Genomic DNA, 27,574 nt, shown 5'->3' on the forward strand with positions numbered 1-27,574 from the left:
ACAATTTGTGTGTGTGTGTTGGGGGGGGCAGGGGGAGGGGGCGGCCCTGAATGCTTATGGGTTACAGTGTAAGTGTGCCTGGCCCTATTGTCAACAGAATCGCCATTTGTCACCATTTCTACCACTCCTTATCACTTCCTAATTCTGGACCAGATGTAGGTTGCCACTTGTGCTTGGGCTGTTATTTTTCTCAACGTAAATATTTCTACCTCTATCAAAAAAAATAAAAGAAAAGAAATTGATGGTTTCATGATTTTGCCTTCTACCAAGTGTATTTGGCTGATTCAATTTCCTGCCTGGCTTCTGTTGGCACTGAGTTTGTGCCCCTGCTTTACGATTTCTATCTTTGGTTTCCCCACATCAGATGACAGAAATACCCACTTATATTCTCTTTTATTTGCATAGTTTTATGCCTTAAATTTAAATGTTTAATCCATCTTGAATTTATGGCATGGAAAAAAGACCTAAAATGGTTTTTCCAATTTAGTCAACTATTCCAACAGCATTTATAAAATTCTTTCTCCACTGTCTTAAAGTTCTACCTTTTTTGGAGTCACTTTTTTTCTTTTTTTTTTTTGAGACAGAGTCTCGCTCTGTCTCCAGGCTGGAGTGCAGTGGCACCATCTCGGCTGACTGCAACCTCCACCTCCCAGGTTCAATCAATACTCCTGCCTCAGCCTCCCGAGTAGCTGGGACTACAGGCATGCACCATCATGCCCAGCTAATTTTTTAATATTTTTACATACATACATTACATATGAATTAGCATACCACTAATTCATATATGCTAGGGCAATATTTTCAACACTACTCTTCCTCTTTAATATTTTCAAGGCTATTCTTACATAATCTTTTTTTCAGCTAAACCAGTCTTTAAAATATTCTATTGGGCCGGGCACACTAACTCACGCCTGTAATCCCAGCACTTGGGGAGGCAGAGATGGGCAGATCACTTGAGCTCAGGAGTTCAAGATCAGCCTGGACAACAGGTAAAACCCCGTCTCTACGAAAAATATAAAAATTAGCTGGGTATGGTGGTGCATGCCTATGGTCCCAGCGACTTAGTAGGGTGAGGTGGGAGGATCACCTGAGCCCAGGAGCAGTGAGCGCTAATCGCACCACTGCACTCCAGCCTGGGCAACAGGGTGAGACCTCGTCTCTCTCTCTCTCTCTCTCTCTCTCTCTCTCAATAAATAAATAAATAAATGCTATTGTGAAGTTAATTGAAAGTACATTAAATTTATAGCTTATTTTGGGGAGAATGGGTCTTGCTATGGTTTGAGTATCTGTCCCCTCCCAAACTCCTCTTGAAACCTAATAACAATTTTAACAGTATTAAGAGGTAGAGGGTTGGGCGCAGTGGCTCATGTCTGTAATCCCAGCACTTTGGGAGGCCGAGGCGGGCAGATCATGAGGTCAGGAGTTCGAAAGCAGCCTGGCCAACATGGTGAAACCCTGTCTCTACTAAAGATACAAAAAATTAGCCGGGCCTGGTGGTGCGTGCCTGTAATCCCAGCTACTCGGGAGGTTGAGGCAGGAGAATCGCCTGAACCCAGGAGGTGGAGGTTGCAGTGAGCCGAGATCGTGCCATTTTGCACTCTAGCCTAGGCAACAGGGTGAGACTCTGTCTCAAAAAAAAAAAAAAAAAAGAGGTGGGAGCCTGCTGCAGTGGCTCACACCTATAATCCCAGCACTTTGGGAGGCCAAGGTGGGAGGATCCCTTGAGCCCAAGAGTCCCTGACTAGCCTGGGCAACATAGGGAGACCCTGTCTCTACAAAATTAAAAAAATCAGTAGCCAGGTGTGGCGACACATGCCTGTGGTCCCAGCTACTTGGGATGTTGAGGTGGAAGGACTGCTTAGGCCCGGGAAGTCAAGGCTGCAATGAGCTGTGATTGTGCCAATGTATTCCATCCACCCTACATGACAGAGTGAGACCCTGTCTCTACAAACAAAGTGAGACCTTTAATAGGTGATTAGGCTATGAGGGATCTATCTTCATGAATGGATTAATGCCATTACCAAGGAAGTGGGTTCCTTATAAAAGGAAGAGTTCAGACCCCTTTTGTGTTTGTTTCTCTCTGTCTTTCCCCTTCTGCAATGTGATGCCCTCCACCATGTTATGATGCAGCAGGTACCTTGCCAGATGCCAGTATCTTGATCTTGAACTTCTTGGCTTCTAGAACTGTGAGAAACAAATTCCTGTTCATTATAAATTTCTCAGTCTGTAGTATTCTATTATGGCAGCACAAATGGACTAAGGGAGGTCTTTACATCCAGGCACGTGGTATGTCTTTTCATTTATTCTAGTTTTATTTTACTACTTTCAGTAGATTTGTATAGCTTATTCATACAGGTTTTGGACTTTTCTTTAGTTTATCCCTAGTTACCATATATATATTTGCCTATACGTATTATAAATGGGGTCTTTTTTCCTTTATATTTTTTAAACTGGTTATTTCTAGCATTTAAAAAAGCTACTTCTTTGTATATTTATTTTGCAGCCTAACCTAGAAAAAATTTTAGTGCAGGTGCAACTAACTGCCATATAAATAAATCTTAATAAAGCACCCACAGAATACCCAGCTTGGAGCAGTGAGCACTCCAAGAAAAACTAGCTGCAAAATATACACTAAGACAACTAAACACAGTGACTTTCTGTGTAATCTTTTTATTTATATATCACCTAAAATAATTATAAAAATACATATCAGCCAGGCGTCGTGGCTCACACCTGTAATCCCAGCACTTTGGGAGGCCGAGGCGGGCAGATCACCTGAGGTCAGATGTTTGAGACCAGCCTAGCCAACATGGTGAAACCCTATCTCTATTAAAAATACAAAAATTAGCTGGGCATGGTGATGTGCACCTGTAGTCCCAACTACTTGGGAGGCTGAGGCAGGAGAATCACTTGAACCCAGGAGGTGGAGGCTGCAGTGAGCCGAGATCGCGCCACTGCACTCCAGCCTGGGTGACAGAGTGAGACTTGGTCTCAAAAAAAAAAAAAAAAAAAAAAAAACAAGTGAAAAAGTCTGGGCACAGTGGCTCATGCCAGTAATCCCAGTGCTTTGGGAGGCTAGGGTAGGAGGACAACTTGAGCCTGGGAGTTTGAAACCAGGCTGAGCAATATAGCAATACCCAGGCAAGGTGGGGTACACCTGTAGTCCTAGCTACTCAGGAGGCTGAGGTGGGAAGACTGCTTGAGCCCAGGAATTGGAGTCTGCGGTGAGCTATGACCAGATCATACCACTGCACTCCAGTTTCGGTAACAGAGCTAGACCCTGTCTCTTAAAAAAAAAAAAGAAAAGAAAAGAAAGCTTTTGGCAAATTAGAAGTAATTCACTTCTTCATTGAGTACCTTTATGGCCTCTTGTGAGCTTCGGTTATCAAGATTTTCCCAGGACCTAGTCATCCCTGGCAAGGCTGCATTTCTGGATATTTGAGGACCAGACACTGTAATGCAGCACCTCCGGTGGATATCCTGCACTGAGAGGTTTTGAGCCTCAGCACCTAAGCTGGCCCTCCTGAATGATACCACTGCCTCACTTCCTTTAAGGTGCTCTAGTCTCTACAACTTATATTTCAAAGGTCTCCCTCTGTATTCCCAGTCTTTTATGATATTTTATAATCTGTAAACTTAATTATTTGAAATAGACATCAGGGTTCCACCAGGGAAAAAGAGATCAGGGTTCAAAAATCTTTTATCTTCAAAAGGCAGACAGCTAGGCAAGAAATGGCTGGTGTTCCGTAAACATTTTTCTAAGAGTATCTTCTCTCTATTGTTTGAGTTTAAAGTTTGAGGTTATCCTTATTTTTTATTCTTCAGAGGATAACTCTTCTTTCTTTCAAGCTTTTTTTTTTTCTTTCAAATCTCAGTATACACCAGAAGACTTCTTTCCAGTTTTAAGAAACTGACAAGTAGGTATTTGGGTATTTTGTCTTTAAGTACCAAATCTGGAAATAAGTAACTCCGAAACCTCTCAGTCTGTAGGCAAAAGTCTATTTTTCTACAGTAACTTCTTTAATGTTTCCTTTTCTGAGGCTTCCTCCGATTTACACTCCTTCCCATTATTTAAAGGGCAGTTGGGCGGGGGAACAACAACAACCACAACAACAACCACCTAGGTTTATTGGAATTGCCATAATCAATTTGTCTATTCCATCTATGTTTTAATCGGGATCTTTCCATTTAGCCTTAATTTTACTGACTACCTCATTATTTCGATTCCATTTTTTCATCAAAGGATGTTGTAATTTTAAAATATGTTTCATCGCAATGTTTTAGCTTTTTTTCATCTAATTCTAACCAGATGTATATATTTGTTTGAGAAAGGGTCTCACTATGTTGCCTTGGCTGGACTTGAACTCCTGAGCACCAGCAATCCTCCTGCTTCAGCCTCCAGAGTAGCTGGGCTTATAGATGTGTGGCACCATGCCTCACATTTAATCTACTTATTTTTTTTCCCTGATCAGTTCCTTTTAATAGCCTTTGTGTTTTTTATCCTTTCCAGCCCTGTTACTGACAATTCCAATTTCTTCACATTTTGGATTTTTTCTGTTTCTTCTGCTACCATTGTTTTCTCTGGGTTTGTGCACAGCTTTTCTCTTTGCTGCTGTTCCACAGTTCTAAAATCCAGCCTGAGGTGCTATCTTTGTTTACCGTAATTGAAGTTTGTCTACTTGAATATTTTTTAAAAATTCAGATGTTTGTTATTTTGGTGAGTCTATTTTTACTCTGCCATATTCCTAGTAATTTTTTTTTTTTTTTTTTTGGTGAGATGCAGTTTCGGTCTTGTTGCCCAGGCTGGAGTGCAATGGCACGATCTTGGCTCACCCCAACCTCAGCCTCCTGGGTTCAAGCGAATTCTCCTACCTCCGCCTCCTGGGTTCAAGCGAATTCTCCTACCTCCGCCTCCCGAGTAGCTGAGATTATTGACATGTGCCACCACGCCCGGCTAATTTTGTATTTTTAATAGAGATGGGGTTTCTCCTAGTAGAGGTCTGGTTTCTCCTTGAAGACAGTTTGAGGCTGGTCTTGAACTCCTGACCTCAGGCCTTGGCTTCCCAAAGTGCTGGGATTACAAGCGTGAGCCACCATGCCTGGCCATTTTCTCTATTTTTATGTAATGATGAAATCTATTTTCAATGTAAATCATTCTATTAGATCTTTATGAGACTTCACTTTGAGGGCAAAGAAGAATTTGACGTCTCATGTTCCCTTTGTTTTTTAACTGTTCTTTTCACAGGTATGGATTTAATTCTTTTCTTTCTTCCTTCCCTTTCCTCCTTCCTTCCTTTTCCTCCTTGCCTCCTTCCTCCCTTCCTCCCTCCCTCCTCACTCTGTCGCTTGGATTGGGTGCAGTAGTGCAATCATACCTCACTGCAGCCTCGACCTCCTGAGCTCAAGGGATCCTCCTGCCTCAGCTTCCCGAGTGGCTGGGACTACAGGCACATGTCACCATACTCAGCTATTTTTTGAATTTATTTTTTGTAGAGATGGGGTTTAACCATGTTGCCCAGGTTGGTCTTGAACTCCTGGCCTCAAGTGATCCCCCCTGCCTTGGCCTCCCAAAGTGTTGGGATCAGAGGCATGAGCCACCATGCCCAGCGCCTTTCTTCTTCTGTTTTTGTGCCTTAGATTCAGTAGAACTCAAATTCCCTCCTGACATCTATATCCCAGGCATGAGTGTGCATGCAGTATAATTTTTTTTTTTTTTTTGAGACAGAGTCTCACTTTGTCACCCAGGCTAGAGTGCAGTGGCACAATCTAGGCTCACTGCAGCCTTGGCCTCTCGGGTTCAAGCAAATTTTCCTGCCTTAGCCTCCCAAGTAGCTGGGACTACAGGCACGTGCCACCATGCCCAGCTAATTTTTTTGCATTTTTAGTAGAGATGGGGTTTCGCCATGTTAGCCAGGATGGTCTTGATCTCCTGATCTCGTGATCCGCCCACCTTGGCCTTTTTTTTCTTTTTTTTAAAAGAGGCAGAGTCTTGCTGCATCACCCAAGCTGGATTGCAGTAGCATGATCATAGCTCACTGCAGCCTCAAACTCCTAGGGTCAAGGGATCCTCTTACCCTGGCTTCCTAAAGCATTGGGATTACAGGCGTAAGCCACAACTCCCAGCCCTATACTTTTACAAAGAATCTGCTAATCAACATTTAACTATTGACTTCTACATGATTCATTGTTTTTTGATTAATTGATGGCAGCACTCTTAGGAATATGGGTTAGGGGGAAACAACACAGAGTGATGCAGAGACAGAAGGAGGATGAAATAGAAGACAAGTTATAAAGGAAGAAAATACTCTCAGGTTGAAATTTACATCATAATTACACAAAGGCAGTGTGAAAAGAAATACGAAGCAATGAGCGGTTCCCATCTCAACATGAAATAAACTCTAGGGGTAATACCATAACTACTTAATTTTAGAAAAAAGCTGATTTAGTTCCCAAGAAAACATGTTTTTTTCTGCTGTGAGGAAAATCAAAACGCAACAGGACAGCAATACCTCATTTTGGCACTCAAAACTATCCTCTAATTATCTGCAGATGTTTAATTTTAAATCTCTCTCAAGTTTGATGAATGGGCCTGTGAGCCTCTTTACTCAGAGCCAATTTTTAGTCTACATTAAAGACTCATTAGCTCCTGGTTCTATTAGGTCAGCATAACAGATATCTGCAGAGCACAAAACAAATATGATTCTTAAAAATTTGGTGTTTCCATGAAAAGAATCCCATAATAGAGGATTCGATGAGCCACATGAACAGAGGTTCTGAGATTCTCATAATATTTAAAGAGCTCAGCCTCTTCTGTGATTGTACTGGACTCTTGGAAGGGGATGAGTGGGAACATAATTTAAAGAGTTTTCACTGCAGGCAGTAATTTACAGTAAACTAGAGAGTATTCACTCTTAAGAGGCTGGCTAGATATATGAGAAAAACACAAGCAAGCATAGGTAGAGATCATGTAAATTAGGGAAATTAAACAAAAATTTTCCAGATGTATAGGTAACTAATCACATATGTAAGCATCTTCACCTTCAGCAGCAGCAGCAGCTTAAAATAAAAAAAAAAAATTTTTTTTGGTATTTCAGGCTGGGCGTGGTCGCTCATGCCTATAATCCCAGCATTTTGAGAGGCCAAGGTGAGAGGACAGCTTAGGCCCACGAGTTCAAGACCAGACTGGACAACATGGCAAGACTCCGTCTCTACAAAAAAATTTAAAAATTAGCCAGGTGTGATGATATGCACCTGTGATCCCAGATACTCAGGAGGCTGAGGTGAGAAGGTTGCTTGAGCCCAGGAAGTCAATGCTGCAGTGAGCCGTGATCATGCCACTGCACTCCAGCCTGGGTGACAGAGAATGATCTTGTCTCAAAAAAATAAATAAATAAAATAAAAAATAAAAAAAATTGGTGTGTCCAGTAACTGGAATAAACAGCACTTATCATTAATGTTAACCTACTTATTCACTGGAATTAATATAGAGATGGCTCATGAAAAGAAACTCTTTTTTTTTTTTTTTTTTTTGAGACATGGTCTTGCTCTGTAGCCCAGGTTGGAATGCAGAGGTGCAATCACAGATCACTGCAGCCTCAACCTCCTGGGCTCAAGCAATCCTTCTGCCTTAGCCTCCCCAGGAGCTGCAACTATAGGCATGGACCATGAAGTCCAGCTAATTTTTTTATTTTTATAGAGATGGGGTCTTGCTATTTTGCCCAGGCTGGTCTGGAATTCTTGAGCTCAAGGGATTCTCCTGCTTTGACCTCAGAAAGTGCTGGGATTACAAGCGTGAGCCACAGCACCAGGCCCATATGAAATTTTTTGAAAAATATTTTGGATAATAGATTATGTTATTTGAAAATGGCTGTATCTTTTTTAATCCTTCAAGAAAACCAACCTGATTGTAAAGAAGAAATTAAAATGATTATTTGCAGGTGACGGTAAAATAAAAAAGAATCTTATTAAAAGAACAAAAAGAATACTTACTAATAAATACATGCAATCTGTATTAAGAAAATATAAAAGACACAAAAGAAGATGTGAATGACTAAAATACCCTCTTCTTGGTTGTAAAGACGCTAAATATTATAAAGATGTCAATTTTCCTTAAATCTATCAATTTAATGCAGATACAATTCAAAAAAACTGACAGGGTTTGTCTTTTCTGAGAGGACAAGAGTGGTAAAAAGGCTAATTCTAGTTTAAAAGTAAAAATGAAAATGAAAGCACAGCCAGAAATACTCTAAAAAAGAAAAACCTGGCCGGGCACGGTGGCTCACGCCTGTAATCCCAGCACTTTAGGAGGCCGAGGCAGGCGGATCACGAGGTCAGGAGATCAAGACCATCCTGGCTAACATGGTGAAACCCTGTCTCTACTAAAAATACAAAAAATTAGCCAGGCGTGGTGGCGGGCGCCTGTAGTCCCAGGTACTCGGGAGGCTGAGGCAGGAGAATGGCGTGAACCCTGGAGGCGGAGCTTGCAGTGAGCCAAGATTGCACCACTGCACTCCAGCCTGGGTGACAGAGCAAGACTCCATCTCAAAAAAAAAAAATAAAAAAAGAAAAACCTGTGCTGCTGACACTTGAATTGACAGATGAACAGGACAGAATAGAAATACGACAGTTGTTGTTTACCAAATATTTTCAGCTTTCCATCTTCCTTCTGCACACATGTATGACTGTATTTTCCTGCTGTTTTGTTGTGGGTAGAGTCATGTGACTAAAACTTGTCAGCGAGCTGTGAAGGGAACTGATGTATATCTCTTTCAGGCTGAACATTTTACTGATGGTGTGAGAGTCTCCAGGCCCCTCTTTCCCTTAGTCAGGAAAGCTGGTAATGTTCAAGATGGTGGCAACTCCATTAGTTTCTGAGTGAGAAGACACGGAGTAGAGCTCTCAGCCAACTCTTGATGAACATGTACCAAAAGGAAGGAAAATTCTTGTTATAAGCCATTAAGATTTTGAGGTTGTTTGTTACCACAACATAACCTAGCCTACGCTGGCAGATACAAGAAAGTTAAAGAATAGCCCAAATTAATATAGGAATCATAAAGCTGACATTTCCCATTAGAGAGAAAGAGAGAGAGATGGATTATTCACAAATGATATTGGGACAATTAGGTAGCCAGTTGAGAAAAAAAATTAAGATAGCCTTATTCTTTGTATTAAAATATATCTGAGCTGTACCTAAGGTTTAAATATAAAAAATGAAATTATGAAAATATTAAAATATATCAAAGAATTTTAAAAATAATCTCAAAATGGGGAAGGCCTTTCTAAGTAAAACTCAGAAACACCCCCAAAAAAAATCCACAGAAACTTTCTGCTTGGGGGAAAAAAGTACTCTCACACATTATCAGTGGAATTGTGAGTAGAATTATTGGCTTCCACAAGAGCAACTCAGCAAAATTATACATGCACTTACCTATTGACCCAGCAATTCCACATTTAGGAATTTATCTTTCAGATGTACTTGCATGCATACTCAAAGACACATTTGTACCAGGCTCTTCACACAAACTTGTTTATAAAAGCAAAAGGTTGGAAGCAACCTAAATATGTAATTGGTTAAGTCATAGAATATCATCACAATCTAATGTTTTACAGTTGTTAAAGAATGATACCAGGTCAGTCATGGTGGCTCACACCTGTAATCCCAGCACTTTGGGAGGCCAAGGTGGGAGGACTGCTTAAGGCCAGGAGTTAGAGACCAGCCTGGGCCAACACAGTTAAAAAAATAATATATATATACACACACACATATATATATTTTTTAATTAGCTGGGCATGGTGGCACATGCTTTTAGTCCTAGCTACTCAGGAGGCTGAGGTTAGAGGATCATCTGTGACCCAAGGTTCGAGACTACAGCAAGCTATGATCACATCACTGCATCCCAGCCAAGATGACAGAGCAAGATCCTGTCTCTAAAAATTAAAAAAAAAAATGTAGATTTGGCACAGTTCCATGATAACATTGCTAAGTAAAAAACAAAACAAAACAAAAAAACAACACACAGGACAGTGCATGTGGCATATCACCTCTGATATAAAAAGAAAAGAGAAGCTAGCTTTGTATTTGTCTAAAAAGGTCTCTAGAAAAATATATAAAAAACTGGTATCAGTGATTGAGCCTCTGACAGGGCTGGAAGGAGAATGACTTCACTGAATACCTGTTTATAATATCTTTAGTATTTTGCTGCTAGGATATGTTAATGTTACCTATTAAAGAGAATAAAAAATTTAATTGTAAATGGAATTGGAAGAAGCTATTTTTATTTTTATTTATTTTTTAAACAACTTTTTTTTTTTTTTTTTTTTTTGAGATGGAGTCTCGCTCTGCCGCCCAGGCTGGAATGCAGTGGTGCCATCTTGGCTTACTGCAACCTCCGCCTACCTGGTTCAAGTGATTCTCCTGCCTCAGCTTCCCAAGCAGCTTGGGACTACAGGCATGTGCCACCATGCCCAGCTAATTTTTTGTATTTTTAGTAGAGATAGGATTTCACCGTGTTAGCCAGGATGGTCTCGATCTCCTAACCTCATGATCCGCCTGCCTAAGTCTCCCAAAGTACAGGGATTACAGGCGTGAGCCACTGCTCCATGCCTTAAGAAGCTATTTTTAAAGAAAATTGTCCCAGTTGTTTGTAAAGATTCACAGAAATTTAAAAACCTTGATTCTTATTTAAAAGACTTAGTTGAAAATCCTGGCTTTTTCTGGATAAATGTAGTGAGGAAAAATTATCACAAGGATAATTAGATACTTCACAAATATCCTATAGCTATCTGTCTTAAATCAGCATTTGCTTAGATAAGGTAATCATTTAATGATCATTTTAATTATACATTTATAATTATATATAAATTGTTTCTTCTCAGTTGTCTAATATCTCTCGAATGACAGTAAAATAACATGAATAATGCACATTATTGTCTTAATCTAATGAGATTGCCGTTTCATGAATAGAATATGTGTGGCTATATACACACACACACGCACACACACACACACACACACGGAATTTCCATCTATACTTGCTAATACACTACTTTTTACTGAGTTGGAAAATGTACTCCTTGAGCGCAGAATTACATTGATTGTAATCCTCTAATACTACATTGATTACATCCAGTGTAGCAATACAATACTCCTTGAGGATAACAGAGATCTTACTCATTACTTTACCCACTCAATAACAGTTGGCTTTTTAAAGTATTTCTCTTTATTCAAAGGTAAGCACTACTGATGAGCAGCTCTGACTTCACTAGGAAATCTTCCATGTCTTTGATCTCTTTTGGTTTTGGCATTAGACTGACATTTTTGGAGAAAACTCTGATTGAGCTATGTGAGGCTACTTTAGTAAAGCAGTTATATCAACATACAGGAAGAATAATAATTACAATCTGGTTGAAACCACACTGCAGCACTTTACCAGGCAGAATCAGAGCATGAAGCCACATGAAATACGGACTTAGAATAAACTTTAGATGTAAGTTTGTAACACAGATTACAAACTTGGATGTAAAACAAGAAATATAAAATTTCATCACAGGTACCTGGTAGCACTTCAGTATTTTGTCTTTTTTTTTTTTGCTGTTGTTCATTTGTACACTTCAGTATTTTGAATAAGCTCCTTGTTTTCAATTAGTTATAGAATAATTTACTTCTGCAAACAAACTACAAGGTTGTAAGTCTCGTACAATTGGTAGACTGGACATTGTATCTCTCTAGGGTCTCCCTTGAAAATAGCTCCATGGATTCCATTAATGACTTTGGCTTTAAATTTCATGGAAACTGACAGATTTGGGATTTTCATATTTGAAATTCTCTTCCTAGTGTCATAATTTCCAAAGCAAAAAGGCTAGACATTGGCTTAAATAAGTCAAAATAATATGCAAGTAAATCTTTGTATTAAATAGACTACAGTGTTCAGCTTACTACTTTGTTTCTTTGTCATATTGGTTTAGGTTCAAATGGATTGTTAATAATAAAAATGTTATAAGCACAATTTTAAATATATCATCTATGGATTTTGATTACATCCAATGTAGCAATACAATTAATCTAGGAAAAATTACCTAAAAAGAGTTAGCCTGATGTATAATCCCTGAAACTGGAGAACCTTTTTTTTCCAAGTGATTAATTTGGATATTAATCAAAATGAACATTTTACATTGTGCTTTAGAGTTTGTGACTAGGTTGTATACATATTATTTAATCCTTATAATCACTATGGGATAGATATTATGCTCCCCAGTATTCAGATGAAAAACTGAGACTCAGAAAAGTCAGGCTAGCTGCCCAAACTGAAACCACTAGTGAGTGGTAGAAGAAACTGAAAACTCACATCTTTTTTTTTTTGAGGCAGAGTCTCACTCTACTACCCAGGCTGGAGTACAGTGGCCCGATCTCAGCTCACTGCAACCTCCACCTCCCACATTCAAGTGATTTTCCTGCCTCAGCCTCCCGAGTAGCTGGATTACAGGAGCCCGTCACCACACCCAGCTAAGTTTTGTATTTTTAGTAGAGACAGGGTTTCACCATGTTGGCCAGGCTGGTCTCAAACTCCTGACCTCAAGTGATCTGCCCACTTCAGCCTCCCAAAGTGCTGGGATTACAGGCGTGAGCCACCACTCCTGGCCACATATCTGAAATCAAACCTCTTACTCTTCCCATGAGAACCTGCTGCCTTCCATGGACCTTGATAAGCCTGGACTGCACTGGTAGGGTTAGAATGGATACACAAGTAAAAACAATTTCCGTGGTTGGTTCCTGTGGGCAGTTAGTATGCTGATGCATCTTGGATCATCTTCACTGCCTTAGAGGGCCTCCAGAAAGGCCCACACCATAATTTCTAAATAACTGGCAACAAGGTATATATTTTTAAACTTTTTATTTTGAAATAATTTTCGATTTATAGAAAAGTTGCAAGAGTTCCCAAATACCCTTCGCCTAACTTCCCCAAATGTTAAAATCTTACCTAAGGATAGCAGAAAGACAGGAAATCAACAGATATAATCCTATTAACTAAAATACAGACTTTATGCAATTTTCACCAGCTTTCCCACTAATATTCTTTTTCTGTTCTAGGATCCCACATTGCATTAATTGTATCTCTTTAGTCTCCTCCAATCTGTGACAAAGAACTGTGTCTTTTAAATTAAAATTAATCAATGTTCATTTTATTCTGAAAATGTCATGGCACTTCTCGAAACAGTATTGAATATTACAAACCTCCTTTGGGAATTGCTAGGTCTATGAGATAATCAAGAAAACATCCTGAAATAAAGAGCCAGAGTGGCCCTAAAGATAGAAAAAAGAAAATCACTCTTTAAATAAAGGTAGGAATTGGCTGTGACAATCTGAATGTATCAGTTGTATTTGTGACACCTGTCCATCAACAGTCAGTTATAACTCCCCGGAAAAGCACAGGGTTAAAACACCTACCTCTGGAGTATAACAGATAGAAATCAATACAACTCTGTTTAATGGAGCAGTCATTAAAGAGTTATTTCATTTGTTTTAAATTAAAGGAGTTGAGTTTGTTCATTCTACAGACAGGGTAAATTAATAACTAAATTCAAGTATACAAAGGTGATTAGAAGGCACTAAATTTTCTCTACATAGTGATCTCCTTTTCTAATTGGTAGCATAAAGTTGCTGAACTGTCAGTGATCCTAATTCAAAACCAAACCCCTGGGAAAGGTGACGAGTCTTTGGACCCTGTTGAAGCTACTCTGGGAGAAGTGTCAACAGGGTTCTCTATAAACCTCGACAGCTCACTTCTTATTCTTGAGGATTCTAGATTGAACACATTAATTCCAGGACTTTAATGGTGAATTCTTAGTTACCCAAAAAGGTATTAGAATTCCTACAGGAGTTTAGAATCCCTGAAGACAAAAGACTAGAATGCATAAACTGCACGTACTAAAAGTGAAATAAAGAAGTTTAGTAAACCACAAGCACTTCTAGAGTGGTAAAACAGCAACAAGCTAACAAATGAAAAATGGAAGATTCTTTCATTGTACAGCCTTAAAAGTGAGAGAAAACAATGTCACTGATAGTTTAGCAATTCATAGCCAGGAACTGAGAGCAAATTAGAGAAAGCTGCATGGCACTAAGTGGGTTCCATGAAAGATGGCATAGCAGAGGCAGTAACCTTACAGAGTTGAGTTTAGCCACGCCCCACCACGGGGACTTGTAGGCAAGTCTCAATGTCCCATCTATAATATAGGGAGAGTTACCCACATCCACCTCTGGGGTGTGCCTGGCATATAGTGAGTGCTCATCATTCCCATCAGGTCTCTTTTTGTTCTCTGGTGTGAGGCTGGCATTGGGGTTAGGAATCATTTGGGCCTGAGCCACATCTCCCTGGGCCACTCTGGGTTAGATCTACATCTTTGAGCCTGAACCACAAGTGGACTCCTTTCTGAAGTGACAGGGGCAGGGTACAGAATACTGAGAAACAGACATTAGTTTAGCCACATTTCTTCAACAACAATTTCCAGATAGCCAACCTGTATAAATTAAAACCCTATCTGTTTTTAGATCTAAATTTTGTAGAAGGAAAATTCTACAGCCACAAAACAGCATCTAAGATGTTCATGACTAATTCAGCATTCTTCAAATGGTTATGAATCAGCAAAGTGTGCAGGCTGCCTGGTAGTTTGACACTGGTGATAATTACCTTGCATTTCTAAAAATTACAGTCCTAAGCACTGCCTGGAAGTCTCCCCTTTGTTTACTAGGATCACCTCGTTCTTTTAAGAAAGATATGTGAAGACTTCATCTTTAAAATGATTTTAGGCAGCCAATGGAACAACTGAGACGATGGGGCAGATCAAATGTTATTTCAATATTTGGGGGGTGAATTTGGTTCTGCTTTTTTTTTTCAAAAATGCTGAAAAATCACAATCATTTCAGAACAGTGAATAATCCTCTAAATGAGTCTTAAAGAATCAAGACTTGCAATTTCATTAGCCCTGAAAGCTCTCTTTCCTTTATAAAAATGTTTTACAAGACTACTACTAATCTTCATCACACAAAGCGCTATTATTCTGGTTTTATAGATGGATATATTGAAGACTATACAAGTTTGTAATTTTTCTCTTCCTTCAAGATCAGGAATGAATGATGAGTGCCTCAGGTCATATGAAGCTGTACAAGATATATGCTCCCAGTAAGGTCACAGTACGTCAAGAGTTGGGTCTATTCTCTACTTCATCATTTTCCCCAGGGGCTCACAGACTCACTGGAAAAATTTACACTTAACCAAACTCACAAGAGGTTGGCTCATAAACCATAATATCAACTCCAAAATTCAAACCAGAAAATATATTTAGCAGGTTTCTTTTGGAAGATTCTCTGCACTAACACAATTACAGAAAAGAGAATGACATATTCTTTTTAAAATATATATATTTTGTAGAGATCGGATCTTGTATATTAGTATATTCTCCGAATGGACATTTCCATTTAGAGAATCAGTATCGGCTACGAGAAACAGAAGCCTCCTTCTCTAGAGGAAGCTAGAGAATGGTAGCTGCTCTTTGGTTTTCCTTTTGTTTATCATTAATGAGTCTGTATCAGAGACTGATGGTTTTCTGTCCTACCCCACCCTCAATATCTGTTCTCCCTTTCTTCCACTTAATTAGAATTTTTGGTTGGGCATGTGACTACACTTCCTAGCCTTCCTTGCAGCTGTGCACGGCCATATGTCTCAGTTCTGGCCAATGTAACTGATGCACATGAAGTTGTCTGGGAATCATGCTTAACAGAATACTGACAGGTGCCTTCTATCTTCTGCTTCATCCCTTTCTCCATCCTGTACCTGCAATAGGTGCTACCATTTTCCTCAATAAAAATGAGGTTTACACCCAAGAGGAGGGCAGAGTGGTAAGAGAGAACTAGGAGTAAGTGGTAAAATGTCCCTGATGCCATGAAGCTCCATTCCAGATCTGTACCAACTTTTACATGAATAAGAAATACATTTTAGGCTGGGCGTGGTGGCTCACGCCTGTAATCCCAGCACTTTGAGAGGCCGAGGCAGGCGGATCACGAGGTCAGGGGATCGAGACCATCCTGGCTAACACGGTGAAACCCCATTCTCTACTAAAAAAAAAAATACAAAAATTAGCCAGGCGTGGTGGTGGGTGCCTGTAGTCCCAGCTACTCGGGAGGCTGAGGCAGGAGAGTTGCTTGAACCCAGGTGGCAGAGGTTGCAGTGAGCCGAGATCGCGCCACTGCACTCCAGCCTGGGCAACCGACAGAGCAAGACTCCATCTCAAAAAAAAAAAAAAAAAAAAAAGAAATACATTTTAATCTTATTTTAAGCCACTTGTTTCAGGTTTTCTGTCACTCACAGCTGAAACCTTCCAATATACTGATGTTCTAGGTAGGTCAGTACTATTTTAAATTATTTTGTATTCACAGACCATTTAGAATAACAGATCATGGATTCTAATTCTAGGTCAGAAAAATACAGGATTTTTTTTTTTTTTGAGGCAGGGTCTTGTTCTGTTGCCCAGGTTGGAGTGCAATGGTGTGATCATGGCTCACTGTCGCCTCAAACTCCCATGCCCAGACAATCCTCCCTCTTCAGCCTCCAGAGTAGCTCGAACCACAGACATGTGCTACCACGCCCAGCTAATTATTTTTTTTTTCCACAGATGGGGTTTCCCTATGTTTCCCAGGCTGCTCTCAAACCCCTGGGCTCAAGTGATCTTCCTGCTTTGGCATCCCAAAGTGTTGGGGCTACGGATGTAAGCCACTGCACCTGGACAGAAAAATATGGCTTTTGCTAAGACTATAGATACTTATGACACTACATTAGGCAACTAATTAGAATACAGGAAATCTAACATTACAATGTAATCTTTTTGATATGATGTAAGAAATAATGGGGACCATCGGCAATACATTTGCCAATTATTTTCACAGAACTACATTCAGCACTAATTAAGTATCGCAGTCCAAATGCCCCACTTTTCAGAGGAAGAGATTGAGGCACACAGACGCTGGGTTTTCAAAGCTAAAAGGCTGGCTTTTATTTTTCAAACTACATCCAAAAATTTGAGGGGGAATATGCTCTAAGGGTTGCACTTCTAAGTATCCTGTCCCCAACAGCTCATTTATACTAATATGCAATAATTGGTTATCCTGAAATAAAATACTTAGCATTCAGCCCATCAAGCTCACATAAGAATAAAAAATGTGGCCAGGCGTGGTGGCTCAGGCTTGTAATCCCAGCACTTTGGGAGGCCAAGGCGGGCGGATCACAAGGTCAGGAGTTCGAGAGCAACCTGACCAACAAGGTGAAACCCCGTCTCTACTAAAAATACAAAAATTAGGCTGGGCGTTGTGGCTCACGCCTGTAATCCCAGCACTTTGGGAGGCCAAGGTGGGTGGATCACCTGAGGTCACGAGTTTGAGACCAGCCTGACCAGTATGGTGAAACCCCGTCTCTACTAAAAATACAAAAATTAGCCAGGCATGGTGGGACATGCCCGTAGTCCCAGCTACTTGGGAGGCTGAGGCTGGAGAATCACTTGAACCCGAGAGGTGGAGGTTGCAGTGAGCCGAGATTGCAACACTGCACGCCAGCCTGGGCAACAGAGCGAGACTCTATCTCAAAAAAAAAAAAAAAAAAAAAAAAAAAAAAAATTAGCCGGGCGTGGTGGCGTGTGCCTGTAATCCCAGCTACTCAGGAGTCTAAGGCAGGAGAATTGCTTGAACCCAGGAGGCGGTGGTTGCAGTGAGCCAAGATCACGCCATTGTACTCTAGCCTGGGTGACAGAGCGAGATTCCGTCTCAAAAAATAAAATTAAATTAAAAAAAATAAATAATGTAACACGTGACTGGGTGTGGTGGCTCACACCTGTAATCCCAGGACTTTGGGGGTCAAGGCGGGTGGATCATCTGAGGTCAGGAGGTCAAGACCAGCATGGTCATCATGGCAAAACCCCATCTCTACTAAAAATACAAAAATTAGCCGGGCGTGGTGGTGTGCACCTGTAACCCCAGCTACTCAGGAGGCTGAGGCAGAAGAACCGTTTGAACCCGCAAGGTGGGGGTTGCAGTGAGCCAAGATCAGGCCACTGCACTCAGGCCTGGGTGACAGAGCAAGACTCTGTCTCAAAAAACAAAACAAAACAAAAAACAAAAATGTAGCATGTAACCATAGATATCATATAAGAATGTCTGAGTTATGCAGGATAGTCAGCTGGAAAATTAGTTACAAGAGAACAGCAAATAAAAGTGAGAGTGTTGCAACAGTTTTAGTTACAACAGTCCTATAGAGTTGCACATTATTATCCTTTGTACTGAAAGATTCACTAACAACCATGACATTATTCATATATACAAATGCAGCTAAAAGGAATGATGGGACATGAATCTTTTCCACATTCTACACTAGAACACCATTCTTAGGTCTATAGCTACAGTAACCGTTTATAGGGCTTTTCTCGTCATTTGTGACTGAAGACTCATGAAACACTAGTCAATTTTCTTTGTTTAAAAAAAGTCACGGCCGGGTGCAGTGGCTCACGCCTGTAATTCCAGCACATTGGGAGGCCGAGGCGGGCGGATCAGCTGAGGTCAGGAGTTTGAGACCAGCATGGCCAACATGGAGAAACCCCATCTCTACCAAAAATACAAAATTAGCTGGGCGTGGTGGCGCATGCCTGTAATCCCAGCTACTCAGGAGGCTGAGGCAGGAGAATCACTTGAACCCAGGAGGCGGAGGTTGCAGTGAGCCGAGATCATGCCATTGTACTCCTGCATGGGCAACGAGAGGCGAAACTCTGTCTCAAAACAAAACAAAACAAACAAACAAACAAAAAAAGTCACTTCATCTTTTCTTCCTTCAGGATAAGTCAGTATATCTCTAAGAGCCTTAAGATAAAAAAGAACATGGATGAACCTTGAAAACATCATATTAAGTGAAAAAAGCCAGTCATAAAGGATACATTTTTAAAATCCTATTTATATAAGAGGCCCAGAATAAGCAAATCTATAGAAATAGAAAGTAGATTGGTAGTTGCTTAGAGCAAGGGAAGGGGGAGGAGCGGGGAGAATGAGGGGACTGAGGAGCGAAGGCCATTCTTTTTGGAATAATGATAACTAAAATGTTCTAAAATTGATTGTGGTGATAGACAGAAAACTCTAATATTCTAAAAGCCACTGAATTGTACACTTTGAGCAAACTATATGGGATATAAATTATGTCTCAATAAAGCTGTTAAAAAAAGGCAAAAGAGAATTGCCTAAAACAATCATCAAAAACGGTATTTTAATGGCCAGATGTGGTGGCTCAAGCCTGTGATCCCAGCACTTTGGGAGGCCGAGGTGGGTGGGTCACCTGAGGTCAGGAGTTTGAAACCAGCCTGGCCAACATGGTGAAACCCTGTCTCTACTAAAGATACAAAAAATTAGCCAGGTGTGGTGGCGCATGCCTGTAATCCCAGCTACTTGGGAGGCTGAGGCAGGAAAATTGCTTGAACCTGGGAGGTGGAGGCTGCAGTGAGCTGAGATGAAGCCATTGCACTCCAGCCTGGGCAACAAGAGTGAAACTCTGTCTCAAAAAAAAAAATTATATTAATGCATATATAATCTCCTTAAAAGTTAAGAACTATGTAGTACAGTTAGGCAGTTACAATTTTTACATCATCTGACATCCACCGAAATGGAACTTCTGACCAGCCACAGTTCAGCAGCCAGGCTAAGCTGGCTGCATAACTGAACTCATATTTATAAAAAGAGGGGAACTGAGATGTAGCAAAAATTGTTTGTTGTTATTCCTTGCTTAATAACAATAATCATTAGGAGAGCTAAGGAGATAAACTACACTCACAATAACTGGAATATTCAATGATAATTATCCCCATTTTGAGGCTAAATAGTGATTCACCAAGGCCAAATAGGTAACAAATAATAGGGTCAAAACTTACTTGAATCCCACACGCTTTTCTGTATATCACCCTGCTTCTTTTTTACCTTTATGGAAATTTACTTGGAACTTACTATGCAAAAATATATGTGGCCAGGCGCAGTGGCTCATGCCTGTAATCCTAGCACTTTGGGAGGCCGAGGCAGGCAGGTTACCTGAGCTCAGGAGTTCGAGACCAGCCTGGGCAACACAGTGAAACCCTGTCTCTACTAAAATACAAAAAATTAGCCGGGCGTGGTGGCGTGCACCTGTAGTCCCAGCTACTTGGGAGTCTGAGGCAGGATAATTGCTTGAACCCGGGAGGCAGAGGTTGCAGCGAGCTGAGATCATGCCACTGCACTCCAGCCCAGGTGACAGAGTGAGACTCCATCTCAAAAACAAACAAACAAACAAAAAACCTCATGAAGAGCCAGTTTTTTTCAAATTACAGGAACTTTTAAGTCAGATCATATGTAAAATGCCTGAAAAAATATTAAAATGATATCAGATCTAATAAACTCAGAAGTGAACTAAAACAATAAAATGTAGTGGGGTTATTCATCAAGTGCTTCTTACCACAAATGTAGCTTTCTGTAAATTCAGGCTGAATATGAGGCACATAAAATAGTTATTGATATGAATAAAGGTAAGATTGTAAATCCAAAACACATATTGGATGAAATAATTGAAATATTACTTAAAAGACAAAAATCACCCTTATTTCTGGTAGAGGAAAGAAAGCAGAATGTGTAAGATTTGTGGTCACCAAAGAACAAAGTTTCAGGCCAGCATGGTGAATCACGCCCGTAGCCCAGCACTTTGGCAGGCCAAGGTGGAAGGATCGCTTGAACCTAGGAGTTCAAGACCAGCCTAGGCAAGAGAGTAAGACCTCATCTCTATAAAACTTAAAAAAAATTAATAAATAAACAGCTGGGCATGGTGACATGTGCCTGTAGTCCCAGCTACTCAGAAGGCTGAGGTGGAGAGATTGCTTGAGCCTGGAAGTTGAGGCTGTGGTAAGCTAAGATTGCACCACTGCACTCTAGCCTGGGCGACAGTGAGACCCTGCCTCTTAAAAAAACAAACAAAAAAAAACAGGGCCGGGCGCGGTGGCTGACACCCATAATCCCACCACTTTGGGAGGCCGAGGCAGGCAGATCAGGAGGTCAGGAGATCGAGACTAGCCTGGGCCACATCATGAAACCCCATCTCTACCAAAAATACAAAAATTAGCCGGGCGTGGTGGCTCATGCCTGTAATCCCAGCACTTTGGGAGGCCGAGGTGGGTGGATCACGAGGTCAGGAGATCGAGACCATCTTGGCTAACACAGTGAAACCCCGTCTCTACTAAAAATATAAAAAAATTAGCCCGGCGTGGTGGTGGGCGCCTGTAGTCCCAGCTACTCTGGAGGCTGAGGCAGGAGAATGGCGTGAACCCAGGAGGCGGAGCTTGCAGTGAGCCAAGATGGTGCCACTGCACTCCAGCCTGGGCAACAGAGCAAGACTCCGTCTCAAAAACAAACAAAAAACAAAAAAACAAAACAAAACAAAACCTCAGCAAAGAAAGGTAAAAGATAAAGGATAAATGAAACAAATGTGGCAAAACCTTGTTAATTGTTGAATCCCACTGATAGGCACAGGGCCATAATAAAAAAATTTAAAAGAAGAACCTCACTAGCAGAAAAGTCTGAAAAAATAGTGTAGGTAAGTCTATTAAGTAATATTAATCTCAGGTAGAAAACAAAAGGATCAATGAAAAAAGTCATGGCAGTTGATTATTTAGAAACAGAATAAATTATATGGAAAATATCATTTTTTCCTCAGATATGACCAGACAGCTATATAATATAGTTTCCTGAAGTAGGTTATTTCACTGGAAATCAACAGTAGATAAAATACAGTTTTTATATAATACATTTTTAAAAAAAACTTTAGGAATGCAGCTGTCCATTTACTCCCCTTAGAACTGTGTCACGCTTTTATATAATTCTGGTGTTCTAAATGGATGGTGGTAGTGAATTGAAATAGAGAAAATGAAGACACAGAAAACAGAAGTCACAGCTGCATTCTGAACTGAATGCTTTGAATTTTTCTTTTTCTTTTCTTTTTTCTTTTCTGAGACAGTCTCACTCTGTCACCCAAGCTGGGGTGCAGTGGCGCGATCTCAGAACACTGCAACCTCTGCCGCCCGGGTTCAAGTGATTCTCCTGCCTCAGCCTTCTGAGTAGCTGGGATTATAGGCGCCTGCCACGGCGCCCGGCTAATTTTTTTGTATTTTTGTAGAGACAGGGTTTCACCATCTGGGACAGGCTGGTCTTGAACTCCTGATCTCGTGATCTACCCACCTCGGCCTACCAAAGTGCTGGGATTACAGGCGTGAACCACCACGCCCGGCCCAGAATTTTTCTTTTTGTGTAATCATTTTCTAAGAATCCAGGGCCTCCTTCACATCCCTTCTGAAATAGTATTTTAACTTTTAATATGCAACATTTACAATATATTCCACACACAGCGCTGACTAAGTTTCTTTGGAGGTCAATTTTCAAATTATCTTCCAAGCAATTCAAAGTAAACAGAACAGAAAATCAATAGTTTTCCAGAAACATCTTCAAAGCATAAAACATTTCATTTCTAATAGAGCAGTAGTTCTTAACTTTTTCTTAGGGTTATGGAACCCTCTGAAAATCTATTTTGAAAGAAAATCTACATATTTCTTTCAAAGGGTTTTATCATTGTTTTGAAGGCCCATGTTAGAAACTCCTTTTTTTTTTTTTTTTTTTTTTTTTTTGAGACAGAGTCTCACTCTATTGCCCAGGATGGAGTGCAATGGCGTGATCTCGGCTCACTGCAACCTCTGCCTCCTGAGTTCAAGAGATTCTCCTGACTCAGCCTCCCAAGTAGCTGGGATTACAGGCATGTGCCACCACACCTGGCTAATTTTTGTAATTTTTAGTAGAGTCAGGGTTTCGCCATGTTGGACAGGCTGGTCTCAAACTCCTGACCTCAAGTGATCTACCCCACCTCGGCCTTCCAAAGTGTTGGGATTACAGGCGTGAGCCACCACGCCTGGCCAGAAACTCTTATAATATAGCATTCTTATGGATAAGCAACTCTAAACCAAGTACAAATTCATCAGCTCAACACTAAAGGCCTCCCATGAATTGGCCCGGACTTTTCATCCTCATTCTCCACTATTTCTCTAAATACCAGACTTTAGTCAAATGCATTAGTTATCGTTCCTGAAGATGACTCCCTATCTTTTTTCTTGATACTTCCACTATCTGCACATCCCAGGCTATCCCCAACTATCTCATAAAATTCTGTCCATCCTTCATAATGTACCTCAAGCAATACAACTTCCATGAAACCTGCCTTGACCCCATAAACCTTCCCCTGAACTTCAATCTTCTGTCTTTCTATCTTCCAATATTTTTCCACACTTTGTATCATGGTCTGCTGAATACTTGTCTAATCTCGGATTCTGTGTGAGACAGTAGTCAAAGTAAAAATTATTACCAAGGAAAAATCTTACTCTCTTGAGTGGATTGAATGGTGGCCCTCAAAAAGATATGTCCATTTCTTAACACAAGGAATCGGTGAATGTGACTTTATTTGAACCGACTTTATTTAAGAAAAAAAAAAGGGTCTTTGCAGATATAATTTAAGGATCTGGAGATGAGAGCATTTTGGATTATCTGAATGGATTCTAGATCCAATGGCAAGTGTCTTTATAAGAGAGAAAGAGAAGACCATATGAAGACAGAAGCAGAGACTAGAATGTGTGGAATCACCAAAACCTGGAGGAGGCAAGGAAGGATTCCCCTCTAGAGTCTTTGGAGGGAGCACAGCAACCCTGCTGACACCTTGATTTTGGACTTCTACCTCCAGAACTGTGAAAGAACAACTTTCTGTTGTTTAAAGCCACGAAGTTTATAGTAATTGTGTTACAGCAATGTTAAGAAACTAATAAACCCCCTTTGCTCCATCTGATTCTGACAAGTCATTTTTATTTACTGCAGTAGCTCTGCAGGAGCATCAGAAGAGATTTAAAAAATATAGATTCTGCCCCCTACCCCAAATCTCTTCTTATTCTCCTGCTATTATCTGCAAAGATCTCTGCACTTCCATTATCAATAGCCCTCCAGAGGTGCCAGTACAGGATAACATCTGAATAGTAAAGAGACTGTATTCTTGTGAAAAGTTGATAACATCCACTGTGACAGGTGGTGGGCTCTAGAGGATGAAGGCCTAGGTTCAAAACTGGACCCTGAACTTGTAAACCTGAACAGGTTACTTCTTTGACATTTAGTTTGTCATCCATAAACAACTCTTTGAGGATTGCTGTAAGCAGTAAATAGGCAATATATTTAAAGCTACTGGCATAAAAGCTTTTTAGTGTAGGTTAACCAATATGAAAGATGATTTTCTGAGTATAATATTGCCCCTGGCTATTGATATACTGTTCTGTGATTTAAGAAAAAAAAAATCTTACTACGCCGAAAATTCCATCTGCCCTGTTTACAGAGATAATCGACAAGTTTGAGTAAAAGCCTTTATTTAATTATAGCCATGCATGAGATTTCCAACACATTTCTGAAGAAGTTTTGCAACTTGTTTCATGCTGAAGAAAATGAATGAAAGCCTACACCTTTGATTTCCCTTCCCACCCATTTCCCACAAACTACATTAACTCATAATTTGACGTTTCATTATCTGTCAACTTTTTTCATTCAGTCCAAGATAAAGAGACTATTTAGATATAATATTTAGGTTCTATTTCAAATTTATATCACTGAGCATAATTTCACATGCTCAGATTTGGGAAGGAACAATAAAGAGATACAGGTAGCTATAATTTTTTTTTGGTTTGCCAAGATGAACTTAATAAACTTAACAGATACTGCAGCACCATTCAATCTGCACATTTGAAAAAAAAATTAAGGCAACATAAAGCATACTGATAGACAGCAGTGAAACTATTAATTTTGAGAATTCAATAAACACTGTCATCAAATGAACTGAATGCTCATTATTCTTACAGTATGATATTTGCACTTATTTTGCTGTCAATTAAACAATTATGATATTAAATCTGCTAAAGGAAGTGAAGAACTGTATCTGATACAAGCACCTGTCTAATCGGGAAAACATAAGTACCATCAAAATGAGAGACAAGCTAAGACTACATACATAATTAACCTTCTATAGAATCTATGGTTTATGGCTAGGTGTGGTGGCTCACATTTGTAATCCCCGCACTCTAGGAGGCTGAGGCGGGTAGAACACCTGAGGTCAAGACCAGCCTGGCCAACATGGTGAAACCCTGTCTCTACTAAAAATACAAAAATTAGCTGAGTGTGGTGGCGCATGCCTGTAATCCTAGCTACTTGGGAGGCTGAGGCAGAAGAATCGCTTGAACCCAGGAGGCAGAGGTTGCGGTGAGCAGAAAGAGCACCACTGCACTCCAGCCTGGGTGACAGAGCAAGTCTCTGTCTCAAAAAAAAAAAAAAGTCTATGGTTTACACAGGAGCAAGCTTTACAACAAGATGGAAAAATTTTCCTAATTCAAATGATCAAAACTTTAGAAGATGACAACAAAAGGAACGGGCAAACCTCACTTTAAGAAAAGTTGACAAATAAAAACAGGAACTTTAAAAGCAGGTAACCTGGAAGTTACTTACAATATAAAAACATTCACTACAGTTCATTGCAACTTTAATACACCTAACAGTAGTGAATCCATAAAAATTCAAATTACATTAAATTTCCAGAGCAAATTTGTAACACGAGGTTCACTTGTAACATTATCTAAATAGCAGTTTCCTTTCCCTTGCCACTGCAGGCTTTCTCCAACTCCCTGGGGTACTATGGAGGGCCAGTGCAACTCTCTGGTATCAGACTATCCTTAGGGCACATGGAGGGCCCAGGCCAGCTTTCCCAAGAGTGGCCAGCCAAAAGCAAGGCCACTGGCCAGCTATTCTTGGGCCAGCTGGCATGGAACAAAGTGTCTGGTTCCTACCTCCAAAGCACAGGAGGCTCTGCCAGCTGGCTTTCAAAGGACTGCACTAGTTGGAATGCTCACAGTTCCTTTCAAACCATCTGGCATTCTTTTAGAACCCTCAATTTACCCAACACTACATTCTGAGATTTGAATTGCTCAGATAATTGAAGGAGTCCCCACTACCTACCTAGGTAAGAAAAGAAAGAGGCAGAGCAAACGCTAAGTCAATTACTTCAAGAAACAGTTTCTACAACTAAAAACTGCTCTCAAGTTTAGCTTGTATATTTTGTATTTTAAAATCTAAAATATTCCCATGATTATTAAGCAAACTTTCAAAGTAAAAACCAAGACAAGTAATAAGAGAATAAGCTAAAACAGACTATTTAACATGCAGAAAAGCTGTAGGAATCCCTTAGGGTTAGAAGTACCTGACTCTCCCTAGCCTGAACTTCTACAGAGCCTGTCTGTATTTTTTATGTGGTCCTCAGAATATACTTCGTACTGCTACATATATTTACCCTCCCAGCTAGCTAGTAGATGAAAAGAACATTGTCTTATAGCTGTTTCAAAAGAAAAAAAAATCTGTTGATGATATATTGGGTGTTTTTAAAGCTCCATTTCCAGAAATAAGAAAACTTAATGTGGAATAACATGAAGAAAGAACCTCACCTCTGAGAAAACCAAATAAACAAAGAACAGGACTTGGCTTGAAATAAAAATATTTTATCAAGTGATCAAAATGATTTATTGGCTGGGCATGGTGGCTCCTGCCTGTAATCCTAGCACTTTGGGAGGTGCTGGTAGGGTCACTTGAGCCCAGGAGTTTGAGACCAGCCTGGGCAACATAGTGAGACCCTGTCTCTACAAAAAAAAAAAAAAAAAAAGAAAAAAAATTAGCCTGGCATGCTGGTGTGTGCCTGTGGTCGCAGCTACTTGGGAGGTTGAGGTGGGAGGATTGTTTGAGCCCTGGAGGTTAAGGCTGCAGTGAGTTGGAGATCACACCACTGCACTGCAGCCTGGGCGACAGAACAAGACTCTCTCTCTTAAAAACAAACACACCCCCGCCCCCCACAAAACCAAGAACAGCTGAATCATCATATTGATAGCCCATATACCCTAGGAGATATAGTATTTTGAACAAAAATATTATAGAGACCAAGTCAGAGTCAAATATTATAAACTGGAGGAGGCTATAATAATTACTATTATTTTTCATTGAGTTTACTCCCAAGACGAGTACTGAGTTTCGTGTTTTACATATTATCTCATTTGGAACACAAAACAAACACATGAGGTAGGAACTATTATTAACCACATTACAAATGAAGAAAGAGAGAGGTTAGGAAACCTGCTGGAGGTCACATAGCAAAAAGTGAAAGAGCTGGAATTCAACTCCAAGCAGTCTGATGCCAGAGTCCAGGTGCAAGACTGCAAATATATATATATATTATATATATAATATATATATTATACATGTAATATGTATAATATATATATTATATATATAATATATATATTATATATGTAATATGTATAATATATATATTATATATAATATATAATATGTATAATATATATAATATATAATATATAATATGTATAATATATAATATAATATAATATATATATTATACATATTATATATTAT

At 40.0% G+C, this 27,574-nt stretch overlaps 1 protein-coding gene across 8 annotated transcripts in view; it reads right to left on the bottom strand.

Moving 5' to 3' along the window:
• RNF24 (ring finger protein 24) overlaps positions 1–27,574 on the bottom strand; it is an 88,248-nt gene that overhangs the window by 53,637 nt on the left and 7,037 nt on the right. The window contains exon 2 of one of the 8 annotated variants that reach the window (XM_011529146.3): positions 8,638–8,908. The exons of 6 other annotated variants lie outside the window; for them this stretch is intronic. In XM_011529146.3, coding sequence (XP_011527448.1) covers positions 8,638–8,675 — 38 coding nt within the window. In that variant the 5' untranslated portion in view covers positions 8,676–8,908. Of the gene's footprint in view, positions 1–8,637; positions 17,232–27,574 lie in introns of those variants that run through there. One more of the 8 variants, XM_047439866.1, reaches the window with a different exon arrangement.

This window comes from Homo sapiens, chromosome 20 (assembly GCF_000001405.40).
Source record: "Homo sapiens chromosome 20, GRCh38.p14 Primary Assembly".
NCBI classification, from domain to species: Eukaryota; Metazoa; Chordata; class Mammalia; order Primates; family Hominidae; genus Homo; species Homo sapiens.